At 37.1% G+C, this 17017-nt stretch overlaps 1 long non-coding RNA gene across 8 annotated transcripts in view; it reads right to left on the reverse strand.

Moving 5' to 3' along the window:
• The window catches only part of LOC124901339 (uncharacterized), an 84723-nt gene that overhangs the window by 58276 nt on the left and 9430 nt on the right, over positions 1-17017 (reverse strand). For 4 of the 8 annotated variants that reach the window (XR_007059640.1, XR_007059635.1, XR_007059634.1 and 1 more), the window contains exons 2-3: positions 917-1009; positions 663-740 (exon numbers count right to left, since the gene is read on the reverse strand). This is a non-coding gene — a long non-coding RNA (uncharacterized LOC124901339). Of the gene's footprint in view, positions 1-662; positions 741-916; positions 1010-3420; positions 6646-17017 lie in introns of those variants that run through there. The other 4 variants (XR_007059636.1, XR_007059637.1, XR_007059639.1 and 1 more) reach the window with 3 other exon arrangements.

A 17017-nucleotide genomic window follows, 5' to 3' on the forward strand; every position in this document is an offset into this window, starting at 1 on the left:
ATCTGAAGAAAACAAAGATTCTTAGGATAGTAATAAATGCAGGACTGAGTCTGCACTTCTGCAAGAATGTAAATTTTAATATGGGAGAGATTTTGGGAAAAGATTCATAACATTTTCCTTATTTTAATTCTAAAGTGGATGCAAAACAGACAAGCTGGTATTTCAAGCATGGAGGGAAATCCCAGCCTGGATAAAAATGATGACAGGCAGTTTGGCTTCTTGTGGGCGATTTTAGGCTTTGGCAACGGTGACTGAATGAGTTGTCAGACTAATATGGGGAACAAGTAAAGATTACCCTGCTCTTAGGATTATCCCCATGAATATGTAGGATTAATTGGAAGAGGATTTTAAAATAGGATACTAAAGAGACAGATTTGAGAGTCAGCATGGATTCAACTTAACTATTCAGGAAAACTGGGTTTATTAATTTTGCTACAGTAGTTAACATTCTTCTATTTTTTACAGCTTTATTGCATATTCAACACTACCAAATATACAAATATTTTCTCCTCAAATGGTATTATTGAAATAATAACTAGTTATTATTGAAATAGCTAGTTTTATCTACTCTCAGCTTTGGAAAAGAAAGAGGTTACAAGAAGAATGAATAAACAAAGGATAAGTGGTAGACAAGGTGAACCAAATGAGATCTGACAACTCACCTTAGAACACGGAGGTTGTTTGACATCTTTAAATGGATGATTTAACTGTTGTGAGGAAGAGAAGTTCAAGAAAAAGCCCTGAAGGGAAAAAAAAGTAAGGGCAGAGAGACATTTTGTTGAATGGGGAGAGAGCAGGCTTTGAAGCCAGATGGACTTTGGTACAAGTGGCAACATCATCAGTTATAATTGACTGTGTGGTATTGGGGAAGGAGTGTAAATTCTCAGGGTGTCTGGTCTCTTGTTGGTAATAATACCTGCTTTGTGAGTTTCTTGGAAGGATTGGAGAGAGGGTAGGTGAAATGCCAGGAACATATTCCAGACACTCATTAATAGTAGCTGCTGGGGCTCTAGAAAAAACAAAACAAAACAAAAAACAAGAAGATGCTTAGTTATGACAGGTCTTGTGTAGCACTTATTTTAATGAAAACCAATCTAATCTAATGGATGTTAACCAGGTTTATAGGTCGAAACAAATACTGTAAGTTTTACTTTTAATTTTAATATAGTTTTACTAAAAAAGCTAGCAGGTATGGAATTAATGATTTTAGATTAGATACACTGATATTGACAGGACAGAACATTTCCCTCACCGTGAATGTAATGAATGTACAAAACAGCCCTTTGTTGCTCCCTTAATAATTTTTTGAAACGGTTTCTTCTCTTCCAAGAAAAGAGCTGGAGTGTGAGACAGAGGTGAAGCCTTTCAATCAGATGACCTTAGTTTATTTTTAGTACACTATCAGTTTGATTCTTATTGAAAGCTGGAAATTTTACTTTCTAATCCTCCAAATAGATATGTACTTCATATCTTAGTGGGAGGCCACTTAAAGTTAACACTATTTAAAAATGTGTATGTAATTAATTCTATGAACATGGTGGCCTAATTGCGATTATTTTCTTACAACTGGAGTTAGAAGAATGAAGAATTTTGTGCTAAAGAAACATTCACCTTTCAAAATTCAAAATTATAGATATTATAATACTGTGACATTAAAATGGGGCCTACTGGAAGTCCTGGGTCATTGTCTTGTTCAGCTGTTTATCCCCTCAAAGCACCACCCCTGTACTATACAGAAGAAATGAAATAAATTCTCATTGTTTTCAATAGAAATTGAACATTTTTATCTTCTTTGAAAAACAAAAATCTAGGCCAGGCGTGGTGGCTCACACCTGTAATCCCAGCACTTTGGTAGGCTGAGGCAGGTGGATCACCTGAGATCAGGAGTTTGAGACCAGCCTGGTCAACATGGGGAAACCCCGTCTCTACTAAAAATACAAAAGTTAGCTGGGCATGGTGGTGTGCGCCTGTAATCCCAGCCACTCGGGAGGCTGAGGCAGGAAAATCGCTTGAGCCTGGGAGGCAGAGGTTGCAGTGAGCCGAGATCGTGCCACTGTACTCCAGCCTGGGTGACAAGAGCAAGACTCCGTCTACAAAAAAAAAAAAAAAAAATCTAGCATTCAACTAATTTCTCATTTTATCTGTTTCAATGTCCAGAAATGAGAAGGGAAATTATAGACTTGTATAATTGGCAGGGAGTGTGGATCCTAATTTTGCAGATAATGAAGGTGAAGGATGGATAGGTGTCATAATTCTGCTCCTCTAAAAGCTGCAGATGGAAGAGTTTGAGGAACCCAAGCTATGTGGGTCTTTACAGTGGGTTTGCTATGTGTGGTTCTTTTTAACTCAGGGAACACCTCTTAATAGAATGCATTCAAGAGCATCAGCCCAGACAGTGGGCTGACCCATGCTGCGGTACTAACCTAAGACCAGAGTCCTCTTCCTGAAAGAGGCTTTCTCACCACTTAATGTGTTTGCTACCTGGCCAGTGCTTATGTTTGGTAAGTTCTGAAGTAGGTCCAAATACTTCCATTTAGGAAACAAACCACTGGGTCTCTGAAAAATGGTCTTTGGATATAATCATCTCTGACAGCATGCCTTACTGTACATAGTAGCTCTTCCAGATCTCATCTCTGGGACAATGTGGAGCCTGCTGTACTGCTGTAACCCTGACATTTCTAATCTCATTGAATGACACAGCCTGATCCCCAAACTGGAAACCAGGGAGCTATTCCTGGCTTTTCATTCATCAACACATGTAATTTGATAACAAATTCTGTCGATGCTATTCCTTGAATTTGTCTCCAATCCTCACTTCATCATCACCTCCAGTGTCTTCACAGATCTTTACCTATTGCAAGAAACTCCTAATTCTTCCCTCTGCCACCAGAAAGCATGCAGCCTTCACAAAATGCCATGGTGTTTCTTTGTATCTTAGGTGCCTAACAGTGTCCATAATAAACACTCAATAACCAGTCATTGAATTAAAAAAAATGTTCAGCAGTAATATCTTAAAACAAGTAATATCTTGAAACAAATATACAGCTGCTTATAAATATACAAGCAGATGTATAAGTCTACAGGCAGCTACTTATTATGACCCCTTTTTGAGATAAGATTTCTTCAAGACAAATAGCCTCCAAAGTGAAATATTTGTATGATAGTACAAAGATTTATATGGAAAGGTTTCATAAGTATTTAATGTTTTGTTTTACAAAGCAGATCATAGTTCCTTCCTGGTCTCTCGAGTCACTTAGCAACAAGGGTCATTAATTAGTTTTAAACTGATTTAAAAGCAGGTTCAAATTTGAGGTTAAAAGAAAGGAAGGGAAGTACATGGTCTCACTTTTCCTGCTTGGCTTGCAATTTTAAATAAGATGAAGTAATTTTACAATCATATTTAGTAGATCAATGAAGTACCTGTTTCAGTGCCTGGCCGAGAGTTAGATGCATGGGAATAAACAACTGCAAGCATGAAATGAAGTTTCTCTGTAAGAAAACCATCTGGAGCATCTGGCAGAATAAAGACAATTCCCTTGGCAGTTCACAGCAAAGCTGATTTCCCCTCCTCTGTTTTTACAGTTTAGACAGAAATACTGATTGACAGCAAAGGCTACTCTTCAAGGTATGGCTTTTCCCCTTAATGTTTAATTTTCAGATTGTATTATAACTTTGATTTCAGCTTTCCTTTTTTCTGCATGTTGACAACCAAATTGAAACTAAAAGCTCCCTTATTTTAAGGTTTTCTTAAATAGAAACCCTAAGGATGTTCTAGTTGATGGAAGTAAATGATCACTCAAATTCCTTTAACCTTCCTGAGCTTGAGTGTTTTGTAGGCTGGAAAACACTTGCACCTAAAAGACTTTGTGAAACGGTTGGTTCCTCATTTTGTTTATCCTCTTTTAGCTTATGGTGTTGAATTCAAATTATAAAAACTGTAATGAGGTCACAAGATCATTCACACCAAACTCAGGTCAAGAAATGTAGCACCCGTTCTTAATAGCTTATCTGATCTTCATGAGCCCCGCCCTGCTGATGGTTAGGGACATCTTCCATTTGCCATTGGGAACTACTATCACTTCATGTTTGTATTTCTCCTTTCAGTTTAAACATTCAGACTATTGAAAATTTAAATCAGGGCCAGTATAACAGCCTCTTTGGAATGACTATTTCTTTTGGTAAATTACTAGTCATCCAAATTTTACACCCACCTCTTTTTCCTGCCCAAGATGGCTTCTTGGGGGCATTGAGGAGGTTTCATCTGTGGTAGCAGGGACCAGGTGAAAAGATTTATGTGGTGTCCTCTAGATGCTCTCAAATTGCAGCTGTGGAGTGGCTGGGTTAGGCTGCTCCTCTGAACTGGTAACTGCCAAGGTTCAAGTGGTCTCATCTGTCTGTTTGAGTTTAAAGCTAGTGGTGCCCATGGTGGAGCCAATAGCCCAATAGCCTTCGGTCTCAAAGTTGTTACTAATAGCAGCCACATAATTTAGACTCCAAGCTTCTGTAAAGTCACAGGCAATGTGGGAGGCATCTGTATGATGGAGAGAGATTTGGCCCTGTAATTTGAATTTTATCTTTGAGATTTGGCCATGTGACTTTGGGAAAGGTAAGTGACACTCTATGAACTTCGGTTTCTTTGTAAAGTGGAAGTAATAATACCTGGCAGAGGCCTGAAGGTTATAAAATCGGAATGTTTATTCCTGACACAGACTGGATAATACATGACTATTATTGTTGTTAATATTTCTTGAATATTTGTGGTTTCTGAGTGTTCTTTTAAGGCCCAAAATCAAAAAAAGAAGAGTAAGGAGGGAAAAAAGAAAGGAAAGAAAGGACACAGAGCCAGATCTCTATTTAATATTTTAGATTGCTCTTTGACTTTTGTTTAGAGTTTTTTCCTGATTAAATAACACTGAATCCTTCTTTATCTAATTTGATTCATATGAGAAAAGACTGAGACCACAAATATAGAAGAAACATTATATAAGTAATGTTATTATTATATTTATAATATAATTATTCTAGGAATCTTGGGTAATCTACTTTTCAAATGAAGAACAATCTATAAAATACCTATCTTGGGATTTGGTGAGATAAATGATATTACATTTAATGGTTCAGAAAGTTAGTTTCCTCTTTAACATCAATATTTCTGTGTGGAAAGAAAAACATCAGTTAGGTAGTTAGATTTCCCAAAAGTGTTTTCAAGAGAATTTTGTACATCTAGGAAAAACCTTGCTGATAAAACATTTTTCTCTACTCTTAGTTTTTAGGCCTCCTACAAGCACTCTGTAATTGCACAAATGCAATTGCTGATTCAAACTAAAGCATGAGAATTATGCTAAAAAAAAATCCAGCCCTAGAAAAAACATTTTTATAGTGCCCATTAATGTGATAAATCTGATAATTTTAAAATAGTAACCATATGTAGACTTGCAGACTGGGTAATCCATAAAAGAGCTGCTTTCAACTTTAAAGACCTAATTATCTTGGTAAGTAGCTTCATAGTTGACACCAGGGAGACTTGTTCATTTATAGTCTTTGTATGTGTATGTATTGACATGCTGGCAAGCTGGGGTTCAGTGAGGCTTCATCTAGAGAGACTTTTTTCTAGTATGGCAGGAAATTATCTTCTAATTGGAGATATATATATATATATATATATATATCCAATTAGATATGTATCATTCCAATTGAGAAGTACCCCTCCTCCATTACAACCCTTCCTCCATTACCACCAATTTGAAGAAATTGTTATTCTGGTAATTAAACTAATAAAACTGACAAATAATGAGAGAGATTACTTTCCTCAATAGTTAACTCCTAAGACAGGCTGTCTGAAATACTTCAGGATAAGTTTAACAAAATACGTACAAGATCCATACATTGAAAACTACAAAAGATTGTTAAGAGAAAATTTAAAAGTCAAATAAAAAGGAAAAATATCATATTCTTGAACTAGGAAACTCATATTGTTAAGAAATCAATTTTCCCCAAATTGATCTTTAGATTCAATGCAAGTCTTCCCAGAGGACTTCTTTGTAGAAACACGCAAGCTGATTCTAATAGATATGTGGAAATAAAAAGGACCTACAATTGTCAAAATAGTCCTTTAAAAGAAAAATAAATTTGGAGAAATTCCATTTTCTGATTTCAAGCTTTACTTCAAAGCTACATAATCAAGAGTGTGGTCTTGGTGTAAAGATAGATCAGTGGAATAGAGTAAATAAAGAGTTCAGAAATAGATCAACATTGGACAAAGGTGCCAAGGTAATTCAATAAGGAAAGGGTAGTATTTTCAACAGATAGTGTTGGAATACCTGGATATTCAAACGGGAAAGAAATGAGCGTCAATCCTACTCACACTGTACACAAAAGTAAACTTAAAGTAGATAATAGACCTAAAGTAAAAGCGGAACATATAAAGCTTCCAGGAGAAAACATATTTTTTTCAAGATTTTGTAAATAGAACAGAACTATAACCATAAAAATTGATGAATTAGACTTTATTAAAATTAAAAACTTAATTTTTAATTAAATTACAACCCCACTCATTACAACTACTGCTCTTCCAGACACATCACTAAGAAAATGAAAAAGCAAAAGACTGGAAAGAAAGTATCTGCCATATATATACACACACACACGCACACACACACACACACATACACACATATATATATACACACACATATACATATATACACACATATATGTATATATACATATATACACACATATATGTATATATACATATATACACACATATATGTATATATACATATATACACACATATATGTATATATACATATATACACACATATATGTATATATACATATATACACACATATGTATATATACATATACATACACACATATATGTATATATACATATACATATATATATAGATGTGTGTATAGACTTACATCCAACATACTAACATATGTAAAGAACTCTCACAACTCAAAAATAAGACAAATGACAAGTTTAAAAAGGGAGTGAAGGATTGGAACATACCCTTCACAAAAATACATATGCAGTGGCCAAGAAGGACATGAACATATGATTAATCATCAGGGAAGTGCAAATTTCCCTGATATTACTACAAACCTGTCAGAATGGCTAAAATTTAAAAGACTAACAAAAACAAGTGTTGGAAGGGATGTGGAGCAACTGGAACTCTCATATACTGCTCCTGGGAACGTAAAATACTATAAATACTTTGGAAAACAGTTTGTCAGTTTCTTATAAAAGAAAACATATACTTCCATATGACTCAGATTTAGATGATATGGAAGTATACGAAAACCTATGCCCAAGAGGAATGAACCCTATGTCCACAACAAGACAGGTACACTAATGTTCACAGCAGCTTTATTCATAATAGCTCCCAACTGAAAACACCCCTAATAACATTTACAGATGAATGGATAAACAAGTTGCGGAATATTCACGCAACTTACCAGTAAAAAAGAATAAACTACTTTTACATATAATAGCATTGGTGAAGCTCAAAAACCTTATAAGCAAAAAGAGCCAGACACAAAAGAATACCTATTGTATGACTGCATTTACATGAAGTTTATAGAACAAACAAAACTAATCTATAGTGACAGATGTCAGGTCAGCATTTGCCTGAGAAGGGGCTGGAGTTTGATTGCAGAGTTATGAGAGAATGTGGTGGGGCCTGGGGAAAGGAGGGGGAAGGCCGACAGAAGCATTCTATAGCTTAATTATGGGGATGATTATATGGGTGTATGGGGATGATTACATGGGTGTATATGTCATCAAAGCTCATTGAACTATACACTTAAAATAGGTACATTTTATTGTATGCAAAATATAGTTCTATGAAAGGAAAAAAAAAAAAAAAACAGACTGTCTTCCTAGTTAAAATTTTTCAAAGTAGCACCTAGAAGGTCCATCTAACTTGGCATAAGTGTGAAAAGCCTAGAGAGGTTAGTAATTTCTTCCTTATGACTCTATCTTCTTAATAAGAGGAACCTGCTCCTACATCCTTCCCAGAGTTTCATTTTCACAGCCTTTCATAGCTTACAAAATAGTTAAAAAATCAATGTAAAAAAATCACAAGCATTCTTATATACCAATAACAGACAGACAGCCAAATCATGAGTGAACTCCCATTCACAATTGCTTCAAAGAGAATAAAATACTTAGGAATCCAACTTACAAGGGACATGAAGGACCTCTTCAAGGAGAACTACAAACCACTGCTCAATGAAATAAAAGAGAATACAAACAAATGGAAGAACATTCCATGCTCATGGGTAGAAAGAATCAATATCGTGAAAATGGCCATACCGCCCAAGGTAATTTATAGATTCAATGCCATCCCCATCAAGCTACCAATGACTTTCTTCACAGAATTGGAAAAAACTACTTTAAAGTTCATATGGAACCAAAAAAGAGTCCGCATCACCAAGTCAATCCTAAGCCAAAAGAACAAAGCTGGAGTCATCACGCTACCTGACTTCAAACTATACTACAAGGCTACAGTAACCAAAACAGCTGACACTGGTACCAAAACAGAGATATAGATCAATGGAACAGAACAGAGCCCTCAGAAATAGTGCCGCATATCTACAACTACCTGATCTTTGACAAACCTGAGAAAAACAAGCAATGGGGAAAGGATTCCCTATTTAATAAATGGTGCTGGGAAAACGGGCTAGCCATATGTAGAAAGCTGAAACTGGATCCCTTCCTTACACCTTATACAAAAATTAATTCAAGATGGATTAAAGACTTAAATGTTAGACCTAAAACCATAAAAACCCTAGAAGAAAACCTAGGCAATACCATTCAGGACATAGGCATGGGCAAGGACTTCATGTCTAAAACACCAAAAGCAATGGCAACAAAAGACAAAATTGACAAATGGGATCTAATTAAACTAAAGAGCTTCTGCACAGCAAAAGAAACTACCATCAGAGTGAACAGGCAACCTACAAAATGGGAGAAAATTTTTGCAACCTACTCATCTGACAAAGGGCTAATATCCAGAATCTACAATGAACTCCAACAAATTTACAAGAAAAAAACAAACAACCCCATCCAAAAGTGGGCAAAGGATATGAACAGACACTTCTCAAAAGAAGACATTTATGCAACCAAAAGACACATGAAAAAATGCTCATCATCACTGGCCATCAGAGAAATGCAAATCAAAACCACAATGAGATACCATCTCACACCAGTTAGAATGGCAATTGTTAAAAAGTCAGGAAACAACAGGTGCTGGAGAGGATGTGGAGAAATAGGAACACTTTTACACTGTTGGTGGGACTGTAAACTAGTTCAACCATTGTGGAAGTCAGTGTGGCGATTCCTCAGGGATCTAGAACTAGAAATACCATTTGACCCAGCCATCCCATTACTGGGTATATACCCAAAGGACTATAAATCATGCTGCTATAAAGACACATGCACACGTATGTTTATTGCGGCACTATTCACAATAGCAAAGACTTGGGGAACCAACCCAAATGTCCAATAATGATAGACTGGATTAAGAAAATGTGGCACATATACACCATGGAATACTATGCAGCCATAAAAAATGATGAGTTCATGTCCTTTGTAGGGACATAGATGAAATTGGAAATCATCATTCACAGTAAACTATTGCAAGCAAATACCGCATGTTCTCACTCATAGATGGGAATTGAACAATAAGAACACATGGACACAGGAAGGGGAACATCACATTCTGGGTATTGTTGTGGGGTGGGGGGAGGGGGGAGGGATAGCATTAGGAGATACACCTAATGCTAAATGACAAGTTAATGGGTGCAGCACACCAGCATGGCACATGTATACATATGTAACTAACCTGCACATTGTGCACATGTACCCTAAAACTTAAAGTATAATTTAAAAAAATCCTCATAAACATTAAATTAAGAATGAAATGCCTTTCTAGTCTGTTATTTTTCTGTCATATCAATTGCAAGTATTTTATCTGTTATCTTAAGTGTTGTATTTTCTGCTTCATCATTTTTTTGATTGTAGCATCCTAAAATAAGCAATTGGATCATGTTCAACACAGGGAAAATAGTTCCTTGAATATCTTCATTACTGATAATCTCTTCCACATCTGTCTTCTTATCATAGCTTTCTAATGAGATTTTAAGTAGTCTGCCTACCCCCAATTCATTTACCATGTGAATATCACCACATAAATAATTCTACTAAAGCTATTCCTTAATCAAATCATCCCCCTTCTCAGAAACCTTCAGTCACTTGGCTTACTAAAAAACAAAATTCATTAGTTTTCCAGGACTGGTTCCATTCTATCTTTCCTGATTTCCCATTGTTCCCCTGTGAATGATACAAGTTCTAGCTGAAATTGGCCACCAGTCATTCCTCTCCTACCTCCACCTTTTCCTTCCTCTTTGCATTCCAGGTCTCACCCACCTTCCATAACAGTTTGCATGACTCTCCTCAACCATCACTCACAACAGGTGTGATACCAGCCACCCATCAAAGCATTTTCTCTTTCTCTTGCAGTTACTCTTGCATTAGATTATAAACTCTTAAAGGGCTGGGCTTAGTTTCTGTCATCTTTGTTTCTCCCACAGAGAGGCCTCAACACAATTTGAGTGAATTCATGGAATGAATCATGCAAGTCCATGTGGTTGAGAAGCAGAAGAGTGAGGACCAGAATCTCTAACTCTTCATTCCTCATTCTATTACTTTTTACACCACGGCCGTTGCAAAAATCTCCCATAGGACTTTGAATTGCCTTTGGAGAAGGATGGGGAGAACATGTTGCTCCAGACATTTAAAACTGAATCAAAGAAGGCAGTAAAACTTGCTGCAGGGAATCGTCCTGGCAGAAAGATCAGCTTAGATGCCTTTTTGCTTCTAATCTCTTATGGTGGTAGAGCAAATGGACTATGAAGTCTCCTATGGAAATTGATACTGTTCATTGGATCTTTTTACGTACGCTTTTTTTTCTTTTTAAATGGAGCCTGATTGGAGACTTACAGTTTATTTTGTGTGTGGTCAATTATTTCTAAATGGGTTCAAACTTTGTGTGTGTGTTTGAAGAATATTTTTACAAAACAGAATTTTGGACAGCACTTTTTTGAAGGCATTAGTTTCCAAATACATTTAGCATGGCACACTCACCAGGCCACCCTTTGACACCATGATGTTGTTTGAGAAGAGTGGATACCATTTTAAACCAGCTTGCTTATGACATTGCACGTTCCAATAAAACACAATCTGTCTTTGGGTTGGCTTGGCACTTTCCATAGCTCTTATACTCGCCTCCTTCTTGTGTCAAATCATACTTCAGTGTTATCTCTGATAGACAATACTAGAAAGCATATTGTCTTGGTTGCAGCAAAAGTACGTTTCTGGTGTGGACAAAAATATGGCCACTTGCCTATGACATGACACTCAGGTGGATATATGCTACTTTTAATGATGTCAGTTGAAGCAGATGGACAAAGCACACCATGTGGTGGAGGCTACTGACTGCCCTCCTTTTGTTTCATTGTAAAGATGTAGCTGGACCATGGTTGTTCAGCCAGAGACTCATTTCCCAGCCTTCTTACAACTACATGAAGACTTGTGACTATGCCGTTGTGGTAGAGTGTGAGGGATGTGATATGTGCTGCTTCTGAGCTTGGGCCTTGCAATGCTGGCTGGGTGCTCTTTTCACAAGCTGGAACTTAAATCTGCCTCCAACCCTGCTCAGCATGGTCATATTTTAGAGCATGGGTGGCCAAACTTTTTCTTCATGTAAAGGGCCAAATAGTAAATATTTTCAGTTTTGTAACCATTCAGTCTCTACCCTGTGGTGTGTAAGCAGCCAAAGATGATATGTAAACAAATGGGCATGGCTGTATTCCAATAAAATGTTATGTGCAAATCCAAGTGGCAGGCTGGATTTGGTCCATGGCCTGTAGTGTTCTAATCCCTGCCTTGTGGTGAATAAACTGTGGAAAGAAACTGGGTGCCTACATGGCTGCAAGGAACAGAGCTGCCCCAGACCAGACCACTCTCCTATGGATAGGTTATGAGAGAGAGGGGAGCTTTCTTCTCTTTAAGCCACAGCACTTTTGGGCCTCTTTGTGCAGCAGTTGGGCTTTTCCCCTATTCAGCACACACGAGCAGGCACTGTTGGCCTTTTTTAGATTCAGCTTCACATTTGAGAGCAGGAAGCTTTAGTCTGGAGCTCCAGCCATTTGAGATTGACTCTTCACTGAGTCTTATGTTTCCCCAGAAGGCTTTAAGTTATTCCATCCATTTTATTTAAGGAAGGTAGATTAGTTTTGTCAGTAGTCATCTGTCTATTTGGATTATCGTCTTACCCTTTCTTGAAACTGATGGAGGTATTCCCAGGGTCTATTTGATGACCCCTGAGCTGCCTGAGGAACATAGTATGCAGATATAATATATGAAGGAAGTAAAATTTTTCTTCGGGGATTTTTTTATTCCTCCTTCATCCAAAGTCCTTTTATCCCTCCTCAGATATCTCTACTATGGCTTAGTCTTAGAGTATTGGTTTTTCTTAGCTATAAATTATAGCTCATAAAACTTAATATGTCATTTTTGTTTTGTTTTGCTTTTTCTAATCATAAATTATATGACCTTTACAGAAAATTTAGAAAATACAGAAAAACTGAAAAGTTACACATGGTACAACTCACAACCACAATCATAGGTAATAATTTTGGTGTATTTTCTATACAGTTTTGGCGCGTACTGGGACATAGTTTAAAAAAACTCTTCAAAATTCAAAGGGATAAGATTCCATAATTAAAGCTAATGAAATTGGTGAATGATTATTCAGTTATTTCTGCCTGAAGGTTAGAGAGGGTTTGATGTAAGAGATAATATTCCACTTTGATCTTAGAGTATAAGAAGCACTTTGAAGCAGAGAGAATAAAGAAAAATCATCCCATGGTAAAAGAAAAACATGGAGGCATTAAAGTGTACTTTATATGGAGAATTTAATACTTGACTATGGTCTTGAGGAATTTTATTAAAACTTGGTGCTCCAGTTTTCTTGTTTAAGCATTGGGAATGGTCATATTTGTCTTTTACCATTCTAGAAAATAGACTATGTGAAGATAAGCCATGTTCAAATATGAACTCTTGAGAGAAAAGGAACCTAAATATCTCTGGCATAATTGAATATCAGATTTTTTTCATTCTTACTATTATAATTTTATTCACTATAATAAGATAAAATAATTCTTCTTCCAGTCCTTTTTGTGAAAAGTTTACAAGAAAAAAGGTATCACATATTTTAAGTAAATATTTGTTTTATTATCTGGACTTTTATTCACAAGGAAAAGCTATTCAAAAATCATCCTTATTTTAGGTTAAATGAGAATGATATTCATTCAATTTTTATTAAGTATTTTTGGATGTTTCTGACTGTGATATTTGTTCCTCTCAATGACTTATAACATTAATTTTCAATTTCAATCATTAATTTGGCTGTCACAAAAGTAAGCTATATAATGTTCAAGTACTAGTCTTGTAAGTGTCATTAAAACTAATCACTACAGTGTATTCAATATTCAAAAAATAAACATTTCAGTTGTAGACACTTGCAAATAGTTCAGAGCAACTGTAAATATGAGAGCAGTAACATTTCAGATATTTCTGCTTTTCAGGTTAAAAAAAAATAAAACAATCTAAAAAGCGGTGCCACAAGGAGAAAATATTGAAAAGTAACCTGTTTTAGTACCCAAGTGAATACTTGGAAATGTCAGACCCTTGCCCATTATAATCTTGAATTCCTTGTGTTTTATATGATGAACACTATAACCTCTTGTTAGGAACCATGTCAATAAAATTGTACAGGATTACATTCGAAGTTAAGATTGTATTCTAATGTTTACATGGACTAAATAAAAAATTATGTATGTAGACCTAAACAGAAGTAATTTTGTTGTCATTTGCATATTACATTTTATAGTTTTACTAAACCAAAAATGGTTTTTTTTTTTAAAAGGAACTGTAATTCGGGTATGATAGCTGTAGCAAATCAACTCAAGTGTACAAGAAACATCCCAGTTCTTATTGCCTTTAAATCAAATTAAACAGACCCTTACTCCCCCTCACCAGGCTGCCAGGAAACCAAATTTCAATTACTTTTGGGATCCCTGACTCTCCAGAATTGTATCAATATTCAAGAAGTCAAATGGTATGGGATCAAGACCAAGGTCTCTAGTTGCTAGATCATTGTGGCCCCAGCTGACATATCACAGTCAAACTTCAACATCCGTGGGTCCTTACAGTGTTGTGGCTCTCTGCGCCATAGTAAGGGGGGTATTGGACTTATGCTAAGGCTGAGGTTGCCAACACTTGGGGTCTCTCCTCCCTAGGTGCACTACAGAGGCTTCCCTCTGATGTCTGGCTATATTTCTGTAGAGACACAGTGGTGCATTTTGTGCCCTGCCCACAGGGCTAGATTGAGGGGATGAGGGGGCCTAGAGGCAGTCAGGCCCTGTGCCTTGGCATGGGCTGATTCATTTTCCTCTGGACAAAGGTACCATCTGTTGCTCATCAAGCTGTATGCCTGTTGGGCTGCATCTGCCTAGAGGGGGCACCTTTTCAGTTGGCGCAGAGTCTTCCTATGTAGACTAATGTAGACTAGACATGGCCAGCACCGCCTTCCAGCACTGCCACTGAGCACAGCCCAAGTTCCTGCTACTTTCATAGTCCTCAGATCTCGTGTTTCCTCCCACAGCATGAGAAAGAAATCGCTTCTCTCAGCATTTCTGCTTCTCAAAGACACTGCTCTCCAGTCCTCTTCCAGGACTCCCAGCAAAATCCCATTTGAGGATTTAGTATCTCACAAAAGAGTGAAAAAGTCCTTCAGGTTCAGGCTGTTTTGTTCTCTGCCTGGCCAAGATACCCATGGGAAGAAATTACCAAGGGAGATAGGGGAAGCTAAGAGTGCAGCACACACTGGTTATTTCAAAAACCCCTGCTGCACAAGTACTAATGGGAGGAAGTATTCAGTTATAATGCTTACGATCTGCCTTTCCTTTTCTCTCTAGGGAGAAAGAGCTATTTTTTGGCCAGACCATCCCCTTAGTCTTGAGGAATGCTGTCCAGGATGAGGAATGATAGGGAGAGAGCCTGGGAGTCAACAGTTGGACATAAAGGATCAAAGAAAGGAATGGGCATAAAAGGAGAGGAGCCCAAGCATGGAAAAGAGGAGAACAGAGAAGGGAGTCCTGAGGAGGAAGGAGGCATCTGACACAACAGTGGTAAAAGCATCCTTAGGAAACCCTGCTGTGTATTGTGTCCTATAGCTCTCCCACCACCTCTTCCTCAAGAGTCTTTGAGTGAAGCCCTCTGTGGCTTCCCCAGGCTTTTTTCTTTTTTCTTTTTGCATGGGTAAGATTTGTGTATTTCAGGTTGTGAAACTGCGCTGAGATTGTGCTCCAGGTGGCCCAGCGTAGTCCGAGTGCATCGTCCTTCTGCATCACCACCAGGGAGTGTGATAGAATTTGCAGACTTTGTGCCACAGAGAAAAAATAGGTTTAAGAACTTTGACTTAGGAGTAAGTCAAAGATGCCCTGACACATACTAGTTAGAATGGCAAACAATTTTTTAATAATGAAAAATGCCAAGTTTTGTTTAGAATGTGGAAGAACTGGGATGCTCATTCACCGATAGTGGGATGTAAATTGTTACAGGCATAACGACTTTGGAAAACAATTTGTCAGTATCTATTAAAGCAGAACATACATATACCCTGTGGCCTGGCAATTAGCTTCTGGGTGGATGCTCAATTGGAGTGTGTACATATGTGCACCAAAAGACAAACTATTCATAATATCTTCAAACTGCCCATCAATAGCAGAAGTCATAAATATGGTGTATTCAAGGATGGAATTCTACATAGTAATGATCATGAGCCATCTACAACTATACGTGACAATGAGGCCAATTCTCACAAACAGAATGCTGAGTGAAAGAAGTAAGATAAAGAGTTTCTGCTCTAGGATTCTATATACATATGGAGTACAAATACAGGGAACACATATCAGTGAGGTTAGAGGTCGGGATGATAGTTACCCTTGGGGAGGGGTTGGTGACAGGAAGGGAGTACAAAGGGGATTTCTGCAATGTTGATAATGTTTTGTCTTCTTATCTGGATAATGGTTACATGGTTGTGTTCAGTTTGTGAAAATATAGCAAATTGTTTAGTTATTATGTGTGCACTTCTTGGTATGTATATCACATTTCAATAAAAAGTAAAACCTAAAAAATGAGTTAAAATTTTTGCCACACTTTACATACTAGCTTTTTTTTCAGAAGGTCATAATTCTCTCATAAAAATACTGAGCAAGACTATAATTGAATACTGAATCACTGCATACTCATCAAATCCTGATACAAAACAAACAAACAAACAAAAAATATCATTAGTTGAGGAACTTGGGAAATGAAATTAGTTTTCCTTAAAGATATTAACATCAGAGATTAACATTTGTATTCTCCCACAGCAGTGCAAATATTAAAAGCAATGTTTCCGTGAGATTGTGTTATAAACGACAAGTATATCCTGGCATACAGTGGCACATAAGTGGAGCTATCTTTAATTCTAAAAGCTATAACTTTGTGGTTCAAAGAGGGAGGCACACATTTATCAAGGCAATATGTCTGGCAGAGTCTGATTGCTGTTTCCCACCTGCACCAGAAGGCTTGGACTGGATGCTGTTCTTCTGTGTCTTGGGGCCTCAGGGGTGGTTTGTTGAAATGACTTGGCTTTTAAGGAAAGCAGATGAGCAGCTAACGTTGGCTAACATTTATTGAATATTTGCTTTGTGCCAAGCACTGTACTAAGCAGAGCTGCTTTGAGGGAGAGGAGAAGCCGGTTCAAATTACTAGAATCTAGTGGTCTGGAGGGAGGCCTTGGATATGTCGATATTGAATATCAATGCAAATCCTCAAGATATATATATTTTTTAGTTGGATGACCCTGTTGATGGGGATTTTGAATTACTTTTCT

Source organism: Homo sapiens, chromosome 6 (assembly GCF_000001405.40).
Source record: "Homo sapiens chromosome 6, GRCh38.p14 Primary Assembly".
In the NCBI taxonomy this organism is placed as follows: Eukaryota; Metazoa; Chordata; class Mammalia; order Primates; family Hominidae; genus Homo; species Homo sapiens.